We start from the raw sequence: 20,452 nt of genomic DNA on the forward strand, positions 1-20,452 counted from the left end.
CCTCTCCACCAAAACCAGGGAGGCCTTCAGGGAAGCTCCCCCATCCCAGCCCAGGAGTCTCACAGGCACCGCCTGCCTCTGTCTCTCTACAATGTGACTCATCTCTAAGAGCAAAGGTATCACTTCCATTCCAAGAGGTCTGGGACCTTGGAGTGTGGACCACGTGCACCGCTCGCGGGGCAGGCACACCTCTCACCTCCTTGGGAAAGGCCTGGGGTTTGGAGAGATGAACTCCAGGAGACTCCTGTGCATCCCTAATACCCTCTATTCACACATGGACAAACTAAGTCAACTGAACAAGGACCTGGTTCCCAGATGGGGCAGTTGAGCCCAGCCTGAATTCAACTCATGCCCCCAAAGTGAAGACATCACTCTGTGGGAACCTGTGTGTGTGGTGGGGGTGGGAACTGAGGAAAGACCCTGTCCAAATGCTCAGCCAAGGGTACCGGCTGCAAAGGAAAAGGGGGCAGCACGTTCCAACTCAGTTTCTCTGGCCAGTGCCATGGTCCCTCAGGCCAAGATGAAGGGTGCATCCGAAGGGACCAGACATGTCCGTCCTCTTTGAGAAAAAGGGCCTTGGGACTCCTGGGAACCAGGCAAGATGGCAGCAACAGAAATCCCAGTGAGAGACCCTCATGGGATGAGAAACACTGGTCATCCCCCCACCCCCACCAAGAGAGGTTTTCCAGGAAGACAAAATAAATTTTTATTGCACCCATACCAAACTACAGACACAAATCTTTGAAAGGTAAGTACCATTTTATTTAGTGTTGTAGGAAATGTTGGGTTACTTCTTAAAAACGAAACCAAAGAAATTCAAAAGTCCCAAAGAAAGAAAGCAGGAAATAATAATTCTATAATCCAAAAACGTTGGGCGATCCTTCAGTTGGAGGAAGAGGGCGTCAGTTAAGTAGCTCACACAGTAGATATGGAGACACCATATGGAGATACGGAGTTAAGTTTGGTGGATACTAGGAATTAAGTTCTCCACCTAAGGCAATTAATTTTTCAGCCTTGAGAGATAATTAGTAGTTCTAGAAAAAGAAAAAAAGTTGACTGGGAGAAGGGTGGGAGGGAGGATGGTGCGTCATTTAACATTAAATTGCCTCTCTCTACAGTATGTGGCTGAGCATCATGGACCTTCCTCCCTCTGCCCCGTTGAGCTCCCACTGTTAGCAAAACTGAGAAGCACATGCCTGTGTCTTCTTCATACCGGCATGTGCACACACACCTGTATCTCCTTCATACAGGCATATGCAGAGCCCTCACCAATCGGGGTCCACAGCTGTTCAGTATGGCAAAGGGCAGACTTACTCCTTCATCCACTCTGCTGCCTTGATGAGGTGAACACACTGGAATAAGATGGAGGGCAGGATACCTGCCAAAGCCTGAGGCATGAGATGATCTGAAACAATTGGGCAAAGGCTGGACATTTCAAAAAGCTGACTTCCAACTGCAGTTTATGGGTATAGAATTTGATGCTTCCCTCAAGTCCTGACTGCTCTTTCTGAGGCAGCCAGGCTAGGCCAAGAAATGAGCTGCTCCAGCTTCTCCAGAGCACAGCAGCCTCCCAGGGCCTGTCAGCATCTGCAGCAGCTGGAAGGAGGTCCCAGCTCTTCTGAGACATAGGCCATTTGTAGGATTCTCCAGTGCTCCAATTCACTAATGTCTCCTAATGGCTCAGAACAGGCTAAAGCTTCTCCCAGATAACCCCTCCCCCAAAACTGAGTCCTCAGGGACAGTTGTTAACTGAATGACCTCCAGGTTATCTACTTTGGGAGGTGCAGGAATGCTATAAACTGAATTTTTTCCCAGCAGCAGCAGAAGCCAGGCACCCTTGAGTCAATTGTCCTTCATTGTCCAGAGCTACCAAGTGGCATTTCAGAGCACAGGAATTTACTCCTCCACCCAGATGTCCCTCTCATATGGACTGAGTCACACACCCCAGGTCCTAGCAGCAGACATCTCCAAACCAACATCCTTGTGAACACTGCAGATCTCTACGCCAGCTCTCCAATGGAAGAAGAACCACATAGAGCACACCTGCCCCCCAGGGCACTTGGACTATCACAGTAAAAATACATTTATATCAAGTAAAAAACATAATGCAGGACAAATATATACATGTACCTTTTCTTTCTTTCTTTTTTTTGAGACAGAGTCTCGCCCGTTGCCCAGGCTGGAGTGCAATGATGTGATCTCAGCTCACTGCAACCTCCACCTCCCTGGCTCAAGCGATTCTTGTGCCTCAGCCTCCCGAGCAGCTGAGATTACAGCTGTCTGCCACCACACCCAGCTAATTTCTGTATTTTTTAGTAGAGACGGGGTTTTGCCATGTTGGCCAGGCTGGTCTCGAACTCCTGACCTCAATCAAGTGATTCACCCGCCTCAGCCTCCCAAAGTGCTGGGATTACAGGCGTGAGCCACCGCGTCCAGCCATACATGTACATTTTCAGAGTTCAAGTGAACATACAGTTTTCTTTATAAGTATGTAAATAAATTTCATAGCACTACAAAAATACAAGTCATCTGAGAAGTTTACAGTGGTCCCAGTACTGTAGGAGAGAATTAAATAAAATAAAATAGCTGTAGATAATTAAAAGCTAATTAGATAAATCAAGTTACAGTATCATCCTTCAGATTAAAGTGCTCTGATATAACCAATGCCACAGCAAACGAAATCCTGGAAAGAGATTGCACTGCCAATGATTTTGTCTCTTAACCTCAATGTAACAAGGACACACATAAAAGAGATTCCTGATTTAATAACTGCTATCATCTTCACCCCCAACCACGCTATTAGCCTGTGATATTCTTCCCCTAGGAGAGATGTCAAGATTAGATGAGATTCTATCATAGCCAGGGAAAAAAATGAGAAATACCAGAAACATTCTAATTCCAGTCTTAAGTGAGTAACAACAAAATTACCTGAAAAATCTCAGCTGGTGCTTTTAGCTAAGAAGGAAGCAAGTGCCCTAGTTAAAAAAAAAAAAAGTCTATAAATCTAGTTTTAAAAATACAAATTCAAAAATAAGTATCATCTTCTTGCTCTGCACAGTTTTATAACAAGGGGGTAAAATGCTGGTGAGTCTATTCATGAGGGAAAATGGAAAAAAAGCAACCATTTGAAGGCTGAGGCACCTGTTTTCTACTGACTTTTAACTTTTATTAACTACATTAAGCCCTTCACTACAATTTCCCCAGTATCCCACAAATAATTTGGGTTTCCTTTTGGGCAGGGAGAGAAAGTGTTCAAAGGACAGACATGCAGATGCAGTTCAATCCCTTTGGGGTCCAATCCATGGTCTCCTGTCCCCTGTAGAGTGAAGGGGCTTCTTTTTTTCTTTTTAGTTTTTTTTAAGACAGAGTCTTAAAAAAATTGCCCAGGCTCTTTTTTTAAGAGTCTTAAAAAAACTCTTGCCCAGGCTGGAGTGCAGTGGCACGATCTTGGCTCGCTGCAGCCTCCATCTCCCAAGTTCAAGCAATTCTCCTGCCCCAGCCTCCCGAGTAGCTGGGATTACAGGCACGCACCACCATGCCAAGCTAATTTTTGTATTTTTAGTAGAGATGGGGTTTCGCCATGTTGGTCAGGCTGGTCTCGAACTCCTGACCTCAAGTGATCCACCCTCCTCGGCCTTGCAAAGTGCTGGGATTACAGGCATGAGCCACCACGACTGGCCTGAAGGGGCTTCTTCATCTTGGGGAGTTGGTGGACCCTGTCTCTGCCCCTTACAAGGAGTGTTGCTGAGGAAACCAGAGCACCGAGCAAAGGCACAGGGGGAAAAGGCCAAGCAATCGTATTGACATCATTCCACACCTGGAGAACTGTATTAGCGAGTGCGTGGACCACCCAATCCCCTAGCAAAGCGCTGAATAGGCTGGTCTAGCCAGCAGGAACCTGGCTGTCATAAGAGGAGGGGCTTTCACCAAGTTCCTCAAATTGAATAAAGAGTAATTCTTTTAATTCCTGAATTCTACTTTTCCTATCTCCAGTAGAAGGGCCCTGGATCTAAGCAGAAGGTATTTTAAGGCTAGAGAGTAGTAGAAGTCGATGTTTAGAAAAGGCCGCTTGTTCAAAATCTGAAAGGCATACTCAGAGGCTTTCTCTAAACACCTCTGTTCCCATCAAAAAACAAGACCCAAGTCTGAGAAGCTGGGTAGGTTTACATGGTATCAAAATTTAACATCTGCAGCCAAAAGCCACACCTGAGCTACTCAGAAGCCAAGAAAGTATGTGTATGTAACACAGCACCAATCGCATGGTCCTTTTCTCATTTAAAGCTTTCTCAGGTAAGCTTTAAGAGCTGGAGGATACATACTGAAAAAAAATCTCAGTATGAAAGAAAGAAAACCCCAGTGTTAAAATACATGAATACTTCCTGTGCCATCTGAATCTCTGGCTCAGGATCAGATCTTATGACCACATCTCTGGTGGGCATAAAATATTTACAACCTTGTTAAAGGCACAGTGGCATTTAAAACTAAAGCCTTGGGAATGTACAGTAAAAGATTAATTGTAATCATTAACCTGGCTTCCATTGGTAGAATTCACTCTTGCCGGATAACATGTGAGGGAGATGGTGATTCGGAGCCTGCTGGCTGGTTATCAGGCAAGGCAAGTCCTTGACCCCTGGAGCAGGTGAAAGTGAAGTCACAGAAACGTCTCGGTGTTTTTTTTCTGCTGATTTACATCTTTCCTGCTTTTTTGCCAACCTGAGTCGGGATGCGGAGGATATTGGGGGTTTCTTCCATGACCCTGACAAGCAGGTTGTCAATGTAGTCTTCCAGCTCGCGGACCTGGAACTCCTTCTTGCTTATCGTTTCCTTCTGTTTGAGGACCAGCTGAATCAGCTCATCGTGGGTCAGCTGCGCATATGCAAATGCAGGGTCCGAGGGGCTGTATTTCTTTGGAGGGGGGGAAATAGTTGGGAAAAAGGAGTTATAAAATTAGCACAGAAACCTAAAACCTAAAAGAAGTACAAAGGAGGAAAAAGTGACTAGTGATCTGGGTCTCTTGGGAATCCATTTTCTTTCTTTCTTTCTTTCTTTCTTTTTGAGACTGAGTTTCACTCTGTCACCCAGCCTGGAGTGCAGTGGCGCGATCTCAGCTCACTGCAACCTCCGCCTCCTGGGTTCAAGTGATTCTCCCACCTCAGCCTCCTGAGTAGCTAGGACTATAGGCATGCACCACCATGCCTGACTAATTTTTGTATTTTTTTAGTAGGCACAAGGTTTCACCATGTTGGCCAGGCTGGTCTTGAACTCCTGACCCCAGGTGATCCGCCTGCCTCAGCCTCCCAAAGTGCTGGGATTACAGGCATGAGCCACCGTGCCCAGCCAGGGAATCCGTTTTCAATTTACAGTGAAAACAGGTTGTTGACTGATGAAGTCTTCTGGAAAGGGCCAGATAGCACATATTTGAGCCTTTGCGGGCCACAGACAGCCTTTGTTAACATGTTCTTCCTTGGTTTTTTGGTCTGTTTGTTTTGTTTTATTTTGTTGTATGAACTTTTAAAAATGTAAAAACCATACTTGCCTCACAGGTCGAGGACCTCTGGACTTGACTCTGGGTTTGGATTTTAAGCAGTGCCATCATGGGAGGACTCAGTTCTCCAAATGAGTGCTCACTCCTTTGGGAACACTAGGAGCTCACACAACCAAACACCAGTGCAGAGCTGGTGACGACTCCCAAGCCAGAGGGGGCCCAGGAAGACACAGCTGTGACAGCAAGTGCAGGGAGCAAGGGCTTTCTTTCCAGGGCAGCAGGTCGAGGTCCAGCCCAGACTGTCTGCTCCTGCCAAAGCTGCGCTCAGAAGGACTCAATGAGCAGGTGGATGCAGAGGACACCCAGGGACCCCACTTCACATCACTTCATACTCGAGAAATATGCGGAGTCAGAGCCAGGTGCCACCATGCCCCGTCCTCACCCGTGGCCGTCTAGGCACGCCCTTGGGTACACAGCGGCCTGTCCCAGAGCTGAGTGTTCCACTCCCGAGGAGAGCACACACCCTGCGGAGTCACTGTGCTTTATCAGCATTTATGATCTGGGGCCCCTGCAAGCCCAAGCAGCTTGAACCAGGAGGAGATGTAAGGTAAAGCTTAAATGAAAAGTCACATGCTGTGTAAGTCCCCAGTAAGGAAAAAAAAGTGACTTTTCCTGAAATCTGTAGCCTGAGATTTACATGTTTAAAGAATCAAGATGATTTTGCTGGCAGAGCTCTGAGGCAGGAATAGCTTTACTGCCCTGAGGGTCTAACGGTTTCACTGCCTACCAGGAAGGCCAAGAGACTACCTTCTCCAAGAATCAACACTAGTTCCTCAGTGACATGATAGGAGCCCCAGTTCAGTCAGTGACGCAAACTGCCTGGACACGAGCCAGAAGTCAAAGGAGGGATCCCAGCCCTCCCATCCTGGCTAGGAACAAAAGCAAGATGATGGCGGTACTAACTTAGACACACAACACCAACGTTTCCATAGACAGAGCGGGTTCAACCCCACACAGGCTGCACATTTAGAGGTGAGACACTGGACTGCTTTTCCAAAACCTGCTTCTCCCCTAATCTTTGTTTTTTAAAACTTTGAAGGCATGCATTCACGATGCACCTCCTCTGGACCTCAGTCACTGTAGATGTGACTTCCAAAACAATATTTCATTGAAAAGTCGCAAGTCTGGAAAAGAGCCCTAGCGATTGATTACACAACAATGTGAATGTACTTAATGCCTTTTTTTTTTTTTTTTCCCCATAGAGACGGGATCTCTCTATGTTGCCTGGACTGGTCTCAAACCCAAGCTCAAGTGATCCTCCCACCTTGGCCTCCCAAAATGCTGCGACTACAGGCATGAGCCACCACACCCAGCCTTACATTTTATATCAAGAAAAAAGAGTCACCTTTGTAAATAATGGCAAAGAATACGTCCTCAAGGGATTTTAGATTATATCTCTGTCATATAAGGATCTTATTTATTTATTTTTTAAAAGTCTCAATACATAAGATACTCTGCATGGAGTTTGAAAGAGAGAGGGATGCAGAGGCTGACACCTGTAGGGTGTCATATAATTAATTCCAACACCTAACATTTGGGTCTCTTTATTTTTCCTGGGATTCTTTTTTTTTTTTTTCTTTTTTTGAGACAGATTCTCACTGTGACACCCAGGCTGGAGTGCAGTGACACGATCTCGGCTCACTGCAACCTCTGCCTCCCAGGTTCAAGTGCTTCTCCTGCCTCAGCCTCCCGAGTAGCTGGGATTACAGGCACCTGCCACCACATCCAGCTAATTTTTGTATTTTTAGTAGAGACAGGGTTCCACCATGTTGGCCAGGCTGGTCTTGAACTCCTGACCTCAAGTGATCCACCTGCCTCAGCCTCCCAAAGTGCTGGGATTACAGGCATGAGCCACTGAGCCCGGCCTTCCTGGGGTTCTTGATGATATGTTTTATAATGTCAGCCTCATACAAAATAATAGTTTTACAGCTTTTTACTATTTAATAAGCATTTTTTCCATCATAACATTTTAGCAAAACTTGCTTTTCTAATGGATGCTTAAAATCTCATTATATTTTAACTATTCCTCTATTGCTGGATATTTATGTTGTTTTCAATTTGTACAATTATATATAACATTTTTATCAAAATGCACGAACATAAATCTTTGGCCATATCTCTAAGTACTTCCTTAAGATAAATGCCTAGAATTGAAAATGTGTACACACTTAAGGTACTTCATACGAACCGTCAAACAGCTATTTAATTTGGATTCTGTAATTGAAAGGGAAAAAGGATATAAAGGACTTGAAAATCATTAGAAGAGCCTAGTTTTGCAATATTTAAAAATTATAAAACAGGGCCAGGCATGGTGGCTCACATCTGTAATCCCAGCACTTTGGGAGGCTGAAGTGGGCGGATCATGAGGTCAGGAGTTTGAGACCAACCTGGCCAACATGGTGAAACCTCTTCTCTACTAAAAATACAAAAAATTATCCAGGCATGGTGGCGGGCACCTGTAGTCCCAGCTACTCGGGAGGCTGAGGCAGGAGAATCGCTTGAACTCGGGAGGCGGAGGTTGCAGTGAGCCAAGATCGTGCCACTGCACTCCAGCATGGGCAACAGTGCGAGACCCCATCTCAAAAAAAAAAAAAAATTATAAATAAGCCAGCATCATAAAAAGTGAGTAATGGCCTTGGAGAAGAAGAAGCACAGAGAAAATACCCACAAATGCAAGAAAGAATGGTGCCCATTGTCATGTATTTCTCACCAGGATTCTTACCCTGGACTTTTCCTTTTACATAGTTGTGATAATGACATACACTCAAATGTACATCCAACTTTTTCCATATCACAGATGATTTTTGGATCTAGTTGGCTTTACTATTTTAAAACGGAAATGTTAAAGCCACCTGGGTAAATAATACTCTCCCAGTTATAAATCATCTATAAAGGATGGAGGCGCTAAAACAACAACCAAGAAAAGAAAAAAAAAAAACACTGTAGTAATGATCCAGCTAGCATTTCATAACTTTAGCTATGCAATTTCTTTCCCTTAAACCTCTCTTACTTTGCAACATTCCAAAGAGTAGGTATCTTTATAAATACTGTCTTGTGCCTTAACACAAAGCATCTATCACGTGGCAGGCCAATAGCAGAGCCTCCAGGAAACGTCCCGTATTTACCCAGAATGTTTACTAGGCATGGTCCAGAACCAAGAGATGTGTTGCAGGCAGGCAGCGGGGTGGCAGCCAGGCTTACAAATCATGAGCAAAATAAGCAGCAGTTGCCTTTGTTTTGAGCTAAGTTATTCTCTTAGGGCCAGTAGATAAGCCCTTGAATTAAATGAGCTTTGAAGAGGAAATAAAATGGGAGCCAAAGGTCTTGCTAACTTCCCAGAAACAAGGTGTTTGTTTCTCTTTGGAGCCACACTGCATTCCACAGTAAAAGGAAGATGGATGGGAAGCTGCTGAATGACCCCAATTTTCATTGCTGTCCCTTTATGCTGTCCTTTTATCCCATTTCCTGATAAATATCATTAATTCCAGGAAGACAAGTGCTGCCTCATCTATCTGCAACACACAGAAGCCAGGCAAGCTGGTTGACATATTGTACATTTTTAGGCTAGGGCCGAAATGTAGTAGGTACACAATTCTGGCTGTGGCTGATAATTTTGAGACCAATGCTTACCACCTGCCCTGTCAATGTGTCCTACAAAGAAAGAGTGGGGTCCGGGCGCAGTGGCTCACACCTGTAATCCCAACACTTTGGGAGGCCGAGGTGGGTGGATCACCTGAGGTCAGGAGTTCAAGACCAGCCTGACCGACATGGTAGAACCCCGTCTCTATTAAAAATACAAAAAAATTAGCTGGGTGTGGTGGTGCATGCCTGTAATCCCAGCTACCTGGGAGGCTGAGGCATAAGAATTGCTTGAACCTGGGAGGTAGAGGTTGCAGTGAGCTGATACCGTACCATTGCACTCCAGCCTGATCAACCAGAGCGAAAATCCATCAAAAAAGAAAAAAAAAAGGAAGGAAGGAAGGGAGGGAGGGAAAGAAGGAAAGAAGGAAGGAAGGAAGGAAGAAAAAAGTGGGGCAAGGCAGCAAGAAGATGCTGACTTGTTTTCAGCAATCATCAGTTATGATTACTTCTCTTCTTTTACCAAAAACTTGGACCTCCAGCTTCCTGTAAACCTTTATCCCAGCTCTTACTGGTAGACATGCAGTGAAGCCAGAGGGAATAACAAGTACCCAGCACTTGAAAAACACTTTCAGTCAAGCATGGTGGCACATCTGTAGTCCCCGCTACTTGGGAGGCTGAGGTAGGACGATCACTTGAGCCCAGGAGTTCGAGGCTGCGATGAGCTATGATTGCACCTGTGAATAGCCATTGCCCGCCAGCCTAGGCAATAGAGCAAGACCCCATCTCCATTAAAAAACAAAACAAGGCTGGGCGCGGTGGCTCACGCCTGTAATCCCAGCACTTTTGGAGGCTGAGGCGGGTGGATCACCTGAGGTCAGGAGTTCGAGACCAGCCTGGCTAACATGGCAAAACCCCGTCTCTACTAAAAATATAAAAATTAGCTAGGCATGGTGGCGGGTGCCTGTAATACCAGCTACTCTGGAGGCTGAGGTGGGAGAATCCCTTGAACCCGGGAGGTGGAGGTTGCGGTGAGCCAAGATGGCGCCATTGCACTCCATCCTAGGCGATAAGAGCAAAACTCCATCTCAAAAAAAAAAAAAAAGAAAAAAAACTATTCAATATCCGGAGTCCATGGGACTGTAAAATATATGATGGAATGAAATTTTAGCTGCTCTGAACTAAAATAAAAACAAAGTTTATTTCTATAGACTGCAGTTCCCAGTGTCAGTTGGGAAGTCCCTCTCTACATATTTGAAATACAATATATCCTTGCCCACTAAAGGTCACCAATCCCTCAGTAAATCATTCTCTTCTAGTCCAGATAATGAGTTGAAGACCAGGGATTTGCAGCAAGGCAGTATTCTAAATCCTTCAGATTCTAGAACCAGAAAGAGCAGGATGAAGACAATCCTAGGCAGAGTTCATCTGGGAGGCTGGTTTTGTTTTGTGGGGAGTTGTTTTTTAATATTAGCCCATAATTTTAGAGACCCTCCAAATGAGCAAGATACTTCCTGGAAATTTACCTTAAGGAAAAAATCTAAAGGAGAAGAAAAAATTCCATATAGGAAATTGTTGACTATAGTATTAATTCATACTGAAAAACAGAAAACAGGCTGTGCATCTTGCCTCACACCTGTATCCCAGCACTTTGGGAGCCCAAAGCAGGTGGATCACTTGAGCCCAGGAGTTCAAGACCAGCCTGAGCAACATGATGAAACCTCATCTCTACAAAAAATACATAAATTAGCTGGGCATGGTGGTGCTCGCCTGTAGTCCCAGCTACTTGGGAGGCTGAGGTGAGAGGATTGATTGGGCCCAGGAGGTCGAGGCTATGATGAGCCGTGATCATGCCACTCCACTCCAGCTTGGGCAACAGAATGAGATCCTGTATCAAAAAAAAAAAAAAAAAAATTCCTGATTTTGATGAATGTCCTTACTGTTAGGAGTATTTAGGGGTAAAAGGAGCATGAGGTAGGCCGGGCGCAGGGGCTCATCCCTGTAATCCCAGCACTTTGAGGGGCCAAGGCAGGTGGATCACCTGAGGTCAGGAGTTCGAGATGAGCGTGGCCAACATAGCAAAATCCTGTCTCTACTAAAAATACAAAAATTAGCCGGGCATGGTGGCGCGCACCTACAGTCCCAGCTACTTGGGAGGCTGAGGCAGGAGAATCGCTTAAACCCAGGAGGGGGAGGTTGCAGTGAGCCGAGATTGCACCACTGCACTCCAGCCTGGGTGACAGAGTGAGACGCCATCTCAAAAAAAAGAAAAAGTTCCCTGATTTTAATAAATGTCCTTACTGTTAGGAATTACATAGTTAAGTATTTAGGGTTAAAAGGAACATGAGGTACACAACTTACTTCCAAATGATTTTTAAAAAAAATTATGCATACACCTGCGTGTGTATATCCAGAAAGAGAGAAGGTTGGGGAGAGGAAGCAGAGAGGATGAGACTGATGGGCAAATGTGGTCAAATGTTAACCACTAGAGAACTGGGAGGAAGGGTTTGTAGGAGCTCTTTGTACTGTTCCTGCAACTTTTTTTTAACATTTGAAATTATTTCAAAATAATGTTACCAAAAAAGTATATCTATGCAATGATTGCAATTATCAGAATTTTACATTCTTGCCAAAGGAAAGGAAACATGAGGGAAAAAGAAAATACCTGACCTGAATGGGCCAGACTGGGTGTGGTGGTTCACGCCTATAATCCCAGCACTTTGGGAGGCCAAGGTGGGAGGATCACTTGAGCCCAGGATTTCAAGACCAGCCTAGGCAACATAGCAAGACCCCATCTCTATTAAGAAGGAAAATTTTTAAATAATTTTTTTAAAAAAGAAGGGCCAGTGTCAATCATGTTGCTTGAGACAAAAAAAAAAAATTAACAATAACTAAACAAGTATAAGGGAATAAAGTAATTATCCAATGGAATGTCTGGGGGCTTCCAAAGTTTACTCAAAGACTCAAGATGTATGACTAAGTGTTCCTGGCACCACCGGCTGCCCAGGGAGAGGTATACGATGGTGACTATGGAAACGGGTGTTCTGTCAATCCCTAACGAACACACCAGCTTCTCAGAGGACATACCTTCATCATGACCTCATTGTTCAAGTTCTCACTGATGATGGTGGCAGTTCCCAAGCTGCAGTTAGCAACCTTGGTGGCCATTGCATTCATTGGCTTCACAGGATGAAGTCTAAAGAGAAGGGGAAAAGGATCTTTAGACCCTCCGGTCATGGCAAAACTGAGCAACTGCCCACTGCAAAGACGGCAGCCAGTAAGCCAGACAAGGGGCAGGTGGGTCACATGCTGCCCTCATCTCTGGGCCAAAGCACTCCAATGTCTCAGTTCCTGTGGAAACAAAAGCAGTCAGGACAGGGCTGCCACATGCAAGCCAGGAAAGCATGTCCTTGTCCAGATGTCCTGATATCTTCACGGGACCCTTGGTCTTGTTACAAACATCAGAACATTAAAGGCAGTCTCTTATTTTTTTAAGTCAACTAGAGCCTAGGCATTCACTGTAAAACTCTGCAGAGGCTTCTGTCCCTCCACAGTAAAGACAGCTCAAAACAAACATACAAGCTTCACGTTGGGGAGTGCTTGAAGAAGTTTTTGACACTGCTAGATACTACTACCACTCAATGCCAGTTAGTTCTGAGACAGTTAAGATACTGGTGGCATTGCGTTTCTGCAATGTGCGAGCTCCAAATCTGACCGTGCAGAACAATTCCTAAGCTATATTTACAGACTACTATTATGTTCTTGCTATAAACGCAGCAGTGTCTTGAGGTATTACCACCACAAGGGGCAGCCCTACCAGCAGGACAGTGACAGGTGGGTTGTCACATCAGACGTCTGTGTGGTTAGAAAGCCGTAACCTCTGCAGGTAGGAAGCAAAGGGGGACATTGCTCACATTTACATAGACAATCTCCCCCATCTCTCACCTGTGCTTGGCTGACCCAGTTCCAGCGCCTGGCTGAGCTGAGACTGGATGTGTCTCCGAGGGTGAGACCCAGGCCTGGAGGAGTGGCTTCCTCTTGCCAAAATTTTCAACTCTACCAGCGGAGCCCTCTGCTGTGGCTTTTTTTTGAGATTCTGCTGTGCTGGTGTGGTGAGTGTCAGAATGTGCAGAGCTGGGGAAAGAGTGTGTGACAGGAAAGATCTCAGAAGGGGAGGGGCTGGGTACAGGATTGTCCAGGGATGTGCCAGGAGGCGGGCTTGGACTCCCATTTCCCATCGGTTTTTCTTCCTCACCACCACTGGGGCCTGGCAGCTGTTTATCCAAGCTTGAGCTCTTGCCAAGATGTGGTTTGTGAATTCCGAACTCTGTGGTCTGCTCTGAAGGAGCTGTCACAGATGCCTGGGGTGCTTGCAGCCTGAAATCACACAGGCCCTCCCCCAGTACCAACCTATCTGCCTCGCCACTGGGCCCCTTTCCCCTCTCAGGACAGGGGACTACCAAGCCCAAGGACAAAGCTCCTATGTCCAGAGTTGACGACTTTGCTGTCTCTCCATCATCTTCAACCTGATCTCCGTCATCTTCAACCTGATCTATTCTTTCATCATCCGATGCGACTTCAGGAATGGAAGGAAGGCTTAAGTTCAGATCGGCCATGATTGGAGATTTAAAATCTGAGACCAACTGAAGGTCACTCAAGGGGTCAGACAATAAACCTTCGTGGTCACTGGCTTTGCTCTGATACTGAGTCACAAGGGCATCCTCTCCCTCCATCCTAAAGAGTGGAGTGTCTTTCGCTGAGCTTGCTTCACTCATGGGGACTTCGGAGAAACTCTCCTCCTGGGAGGGGAGGAGGAGGTGATCCGCTGGGGAGGCTGGCGCACCACACGTCGCTGGCCCAGGTGTGGTCACCGATTCCCTTTCTGAGTCCTCTGCGTGGGGAGACTCAGGAGGCTCTCCGTCAGACGCGTTTCCAGCAACAGACCATGCAGGGTTCAGCTCCTGGGGACAACTGCTGTGTCCTTCCACCAGCAAGGCAGCCCCCGCCACTGCCTCTTCCGTGAAGAGCTGCTCAGAAAATGACACACGCTTCTTGGTTTTCTTCTGGTCCTTGCGGAGGTTCAGACCCATCTCTTCCAGCTTCCGCATCATGGAATCAATGGAAGGGACTGATGCTCCCATGGGAAGAGGGGGCGCCACTTCTTCAGCTGCATCCCTGGCTTTGCTCTCCACAAGAGACCCAGCCTGACTCTCCAAGTCTCTGTCTCCTCCTGCTGCAAGCTCCCCAACAGGGCTCACAGCTCCATCACTGCTGAGTGAAAGGGCAAACGGTACTTCCTGGGCTTCTCCAGATGATGGGCTGTAGTCTTGTTTTTTGCAGGGGAATCTCGGAAGTTCTTCCTCTTGTCGCCCTGTTTCAGGCTGCTCTGGGAGAGACTCCTCCAACTCAAGGCTGCTGGTGTTCTTCTCTGTGCCTGTCTCACGGGTCCTGCCCATCAGAGAATCTTCTGTCCCTTTATTTGCTGGAAAGGATGGCTGTTTGAAAAGTGATCCCAGGGCAGAAGAACCAGAATTTGGAACCGGTGTTAAACTCTCAGTTTGCAACTCTGCCTTAGGGAGCAAGGGTGGTCCTTCAGACTTGGCCTGGCCCCTGTCTACGAGAGGCCAGCTTTCAATTGGAGTGGATGTGGAAATGGGAGCTGCTATGGGAGATGAGAGAGAGGAGAAGACAGAAGGACTCTCAGAGGACTGTGTGTCTGCACCATGTCCCAATTCAGAGGGGACAGATGCCTGGCCAGAGCTAGAAGGAAGAGGAGGAAGAGAGGAAGGGGAGTCAGTAGGGGAAGGAAGCCTGGCTGTGGGTTGCGCCTCTGGAGACACTTCCAGTCTGCAAAAAGGACAAAATAAAATCTGCAGGTCAGTGCAGATGCATCACGAGAGACAAAGAAAATACACAAAAACAAGTCATTCACCAGGGGAGAACGTCTTTACACGTGGGGCAGTACCTTAAGAAGTTAAAAAAGGAACGCTAGCCGGGCGCGGTGGCTCACGCCTGTAATCCCAGCACTGTGGGAGGCCGAGGCAGGCGGATCACCTGAAGTCAGGAGTTCAAGACCAGCCCAGCCAACATGGTGAAACCTCATCTCTACTGAAAAATGCAAAAATTAGCCGGGTGTGGTGGTGTGCACCTGTAGTCCCAGCTACTCGGGAGGCTGAGGCAGGAGAACTGCTTGAACCTGGGAGGTGGAGGTTGCAGTGAGTTGAGATCGTGCCACTGCACTCCAGCCTGGGCGATAGAGGGAGACTGTCTCAAAAAAAAAAAGGAACACTAACACTTAACATACACAACAGACACTTTTATAACCAAGCAGATCCGTCACACAAAAGTCTGTTGCAATAGAAATGAAAAGATCCCGGTAAAGCAATAGCCTCTGGTTTCTTGTGGTGATTAACACAAGGCCCGAGCATTTGATTATTACAGGACAAAATGCACCTAAAAGGTTTAAAGTGGTTAAAGATGTAACACAAAGCAACAGGCACAGATAAGTTTAAGAGGAACAGTGTGTATGTGTGTGTATATGTGTGTGTGTGTGTGTGTGCATGTCAAAGTAAGCAGAATCTCTAAAAAAAAAAATCTCACTCCCCAGACCGCAGAAATATTGTCAGTATGAATGTGATCACACAGAAAAGCAGAAGTCCCCAAGGCCAGTCCCCAAGGCTTATGCCGGCTCTTACAACAAGGGGCAGAGTGGACACAAAGAACCGTCACTGTCACTTGAGAGAGGACCGAGGGTCTCTCATACCAGAAACCAATGCCAAAAGGCAAGGAGGCAGGATAACATCTGGCTCAAAGGGAAATGTGAGATAAGAACTTCGAAAACACAGGTTCTGCATACACTACAACCCAAACTCAGTATTCCCAACTTGCAACACCCACAATCTGCTACAAACCACTGCGTTCCACTGAGATCTGATAAGCTGACTGAAAGGACAGACCATGCCTGCTGGGCAGTAGCTCTGAGCTGGGAAACATCACTGCAATTTATACAGGGCAGGCCAGGCTGGCAGTAGGGACTGGTTAAAAAAATAATTTAGACCAGCAAACCTTTGGCATATATGGGTACTATGATATCATGGGACCCACAAGAGCTGGTCTAACGTAAGCCTGAAAACCACCAATGGCAAGGCAGAAATGCCCTGCACGAGAAGAGCCAAAACTCACCGGGGCTTGACAGCTCTGGTCTGGGGAGCCCTCGGAGAGGAAATTGGAGGTCTCGGTTCAGACTTGGACTCTGGCTCAGCTTCTGGTTCTGTGATCTGCACATCTTCAAAGAGGTTCAGGGAGCTGCCCTGTCTGGAGACAACAGCTGCAGTATCTTTCTCAGATCTTCTCACAAGGTCTTCAGCAGGCCCCGATGCGTCCTCCCCCGGCTTAACCCCCATCAGCATGCCTTCCTTCTCCCTCCCTGGGACCGTGAGAGGGTTTTCACCTTCACTGCCCTTAGCCACATCCTTCTTCCCCGTCATCAGAGACAGCAAAGAGGACCTCCTGCTCTCTGGCTTCTTGCTCTCCTTAGCTTCTTTTGTGGCCTCTGAGTTTGCGGGGGCCATGTTTTCCCTGAGGTCCCCACTGACCAGTGGGGCAGGTCGGTAGGACGGCAGGGTCATAGACTTCAAGGAGTCCTTGGTGGAAGATTCGGAGAGCTGCCTGTCAGAAGACAGCCCACCTCCTTCAGCAGGCTCCTTCCAAGACCCAGCCGCCAGGTTCTCTGTAGAAGAGAACAAATGCTTCTTTCTGAAGCCCTTGGGGGATGGGGAGGAGGACGGGCTGCTATCCTTGATCTCACCCTTGGCTTCTGGCTGCTCCAGGTAAACATGGTTCCCATTGATGCAGACATTAGAGCGGGAAAGGACATCATTCTTAGACCGAAGGCCACCAAGAAAGGAAAGTCCTTCCTTCTTGGGAAGGGTAAAGTTGACCTGGTTCAGTTGCTTAAGATCCGTACTCGCTGTTCTCTTGTGAGACATGACTTTGGGAAGAAAAAGAACAGAAAGGGGATAAGATGTTAAACGGGTGGTTTGCAGTGTAGGGGCATCTGTCAACGTCTGGATACATTTCTGGTTGCCACAACTTGGAGGGGGTGTGCTGCTATTCGTATCCAGCAGGTAGAGGACAAGGATGATACTGAACATCTTACAACGTATAGCACAGCCCCCCACGACAAAGGCCTGTCTAGTCTAAACTGTCCACAGTGCTGAGGTTGAGAAACTCTGGGTTAAACCAATGAAAAGGGCAGCACTCTTGGTAGAGTAGCAGAATCCGGCCAATGGGAGGGATTTAGACATTGAAATTGAAGTTCAAAATACATAATTAACTCAGAGCTAAAGGAAGCAGATTCCTTGGCTTCTGATAAGGCTATATCCCACGAGGGTTGAGCACATCACAGGAACTCAATAACTACCTGATGAATTAATGAAATATCAGAATTACCATAAGGTTCCATGGTTTTACCCTTAAAAAAAAGAAAAAAAAAACTTGGAAGACACTCATTCTGTTAGCTCTAAAAGCTTGTACTAGTGGACATCATTTATAGAGCCAGGAACTCTGGAAAAGGAATTTATACATTCTTAGAAACCAGAGGGTATAATCCCAGCACTTTGGGAGGCCAAGGCAGGTGGATCACTTGAGGTCAGGAGTTCAAAACCAGCCTGGTCAACATGGTGAAACCCCAACTCTACTAAAAATACAAAAATTCACCGGGTGTGGTGGCACGGACCTGGAATCCCAGCTATTCGGGAGACTGAGGAAGGAGAATTGCTTAAACCCAGGAGGCGGAAGTTGCAAAGAGCCAAGATCGCACCATTGCACTCCAGCCTGGGTGACAGAGCAAGACTCCATCTCAAAAGAAAAGAAAAGAAAGAAAGGAAGGAAGGAAGGAAGGAAGGAAGGAAGGAAGGAAGGAAGGAAGGAAGAAAGAAGGAAAGAAACCAGAGGGCTTAGAAATAGAGAGGGCATCTCAGCCATGGGCAATGGTTCACACCGGTCATAAGAGCCCTTTGAGAGGCTGAGGCAGGAGGATCACTTGAAGCCAGGAGTTTCAGACCAGCCTGGGCAACATAGTGAGACCTCATCTCTAAAAAAAAAATTTTTTTTAATTAATCAGGTGTGATGATGCACACCTGTAGTCCCAGCTCCTCAGAAGGCCAAGGTGAGAGGATTCCTTGAGCCCAGGAGTTGGAGGCTGCCGTAAGCTATGATCGCGCCACTGCACTCCAGCGTGGGCAATAGAGCAAGACCCTGTCTCTAAAACAAACAAACAAAAAATATTTTAAAAAAAGAAACAGAGAGGGCATTTTTTTTTTTTTGAGACAGAGTCTCACTCTGTCACCCAGGCTGGAGTGCAGTGGCACGATCACAGCTTACTGCAGCCTCTACTTCCTGAGCTCAAGCAATCCTCCCAGCCTAGCCTCCTGAGTAGCTGGGACTACAGGAGTATGTCATCACATCTGGCTAATTTTTATATTTTTTGTAGAGACAGGGTTTCACCATGTTGCCCAGGCTGGTCTCAAACTCCTGGGCTCAAGCAATCTGCCTGCCTCAGCCTCCCAAAGTGCTGGGATTACAGGCGTGAGCCACCACGCCTAGCCTTAGAGAGGGCATCTTAACCACCGCTATCATCATCCCCACCACCATGATTTTGTAATTGAGGAATTGAATTAAACTCTTTCTCTTGAGATTTGTCTGTTTCTTCTCTCTCAGAACGAAGCATGGTAAGAGGAAGAAGAGAGGTCAAGCAGGAAGAGGCAGAAACTCACCATCCGAGGCCGAGGAGGACTCATCCTCATTGTCATCTTCATCCCACTGGGACTGAAAGTCTCCGGGACGAAGCAGCACTTTTTCTGGCTTTGAAGTCGGCAGGACAGACATGGACTGGGAAAGAGGCGTCTTCTGCAAATTTGACTTGGAAAGTAAGGTCTTGATCTTTGATTTCTTTTTCTTGTCTTTAACCACAGACTCATCATCACTGTCGACCGAAGGTGTCGTGCTAGGGATGATGGCGGAGGCGGTGTCTGACCCACTGTCCTTATTCTTCCCCTTGATCTTGTCCTTCAGCTTTCCAAATGGATTCCGAGACTTGTCTTTCATAGAAAGGTCAAACATGCTGGCAGTCATGTTGTTTCTCATAAACTGGATGTCAACCTCAATTTCTCCTCGCTCCTTGTCCTTCTTTCCTGGTTTGGATTTCAACTTATACCACCTGAAAGGAGAAAGGCTGAGGAGTTACCTTTGAATGGAAGCAACTGCAACAATGTTCACAATCCCCATGAACTGGCCTCTCCTCTCTGCTACCAGCAGCCTCTTCAATGCATGCATTCTCATGCTTTCTCTTCGGGAAGTGGTAGATGAGAGCAGAATTTTTTTTTTTTTTTTTTTTTTTTTTTTTGACACAGAGTCTTGCTCTGTCACCCAGGCTGGAGTGCAATGCCACCATCTCGGCTCACTGCAGCCTCTGCCTCCTGGGTTCAAGTGATTCTCCTGCCTCAGCCTCCTGAGTAGCTGAGATTACAGGAGCGCGTGACCATGTCCAGCTAATTTTTGTATTTTTAGTAGAGATGGGGTTTCACCATGGTAGCCAGGCTGGACTCGAACTCCTGACCTCAGATGATCCGCCCGCCTCAGCCTCCCAAAATGTTGGGATTACAGGCGTGAGCCACTGCACCCGGCTGAGAGCAGAATTTGCACTTTTATTTCTTTTGTTTTGTTTTTTATTTTGCACTTTTATTTTTGAGAAGACACGCGCTAGACAAAGATAGGATCCAGTGTTGTGCTTAGCGTATAATCACCTCAAATCCTGATTCAATAAAGAGCTCATTCTAAAAATAAAGAAAAAAAAATATTCCATGGAATCACTTCCGATGAGTGATGTTTTCCTTCAGTAGGGTAAAAATGTAAAGATCAGGGCAGGTGCGGTGGCTCACACCTGTAATCCCAGCACTTTGGGAGGCTGAGGTGGGTGGATCACAAGGTCAGGAGTTCGAGACCAGCCTGGCCAATATGGTGAAACCCCATCTCTACTAAAAATATAAAAAATTAGCCGGGTGTGGTGGCAGGCGCCTGTGGTCCCAGCTACTCAGGAGACCGTGGCAGGAGAATCACTTGAACCCAGGAGGCAGACGTTGCAGTGAGCCGAGATCGCACCACTGCACTCCAGCCTGGACAACAGAGTGAGACTCCATCTCAAAAAAAAAAAAAAAAAAAAAAAGCAAAGATCATACACAAACAGTTAAGAAGGGTGGCGTGCAAATGATGTATAATTAAATCTCAGAGAAAATCAAGTTTGTAGTAAGGAATGGTCCCTGCCAGGGA

At 46.6% G+C, this 20,452-nt stretch overlaps 1 protein-coding gene across 3 annotated transcripts in view; it reads right to left on the bottom strand.

Annotated features, from left to right (window-relative positions):
• Nucleotides 1-409: 409 nt before the first annotated feature.
• RAB11FIP1 (RAB11 family interacting protein 1) overlaps nucleotides 410-20,452 on the bottom strand; it is a 40,880-nt gene continuing 20,837 nt past the window's right edge. The window contains exons 2-6 of one of the 3 annotated variants that reach the window (NM_001002814.3): nucleotides 18,901-19,343; nucleotides 16,307-17,114; nucleotides 13,070-14,971; nucleotides 12,212-12,320; nucleotides 410-4,905 (exon numbers count right to left, since the gene is read on the bottom strand). In NM_001002814.3, the coding sequence (NP_001002814.2) occupies nucleotides 4,687-4,905; nucleotides 12,212-12,320; nucleotides 13,070-14,971; nucleotides 16,307-17,114; nucleotides 18,901-19,343 (3,481 nt within the window). In that variant the 3' untranslated portion in view covers nucleotides 410-4,686. Of the gene's footprint in view, nucleotides 4,906-12,211; nucleotides 12,321-13,065; nucleotides 14,972-16,306; nucleotides 17,115-18,900; nucleotides 19,344-20,452 lie in introns of those variants that run through there. The other 2 variants (NM_025151.5, XM_017013869.2) reach the window with 2 other exon arrangements.

Source organism: Homo sapiens, chromosome 8 (genome assembly GCF_000001405.40).
Source record: "Homo sapiens chromosome 8, GRCh38.p14 Primary Assembly".
Classification (NCBI taxonomy): domain Eukaryota; kingdom Metazoa; phylum Chordata; class Mammalia; order Primates; family Hominidae; genus Homo; species Homo sapiens.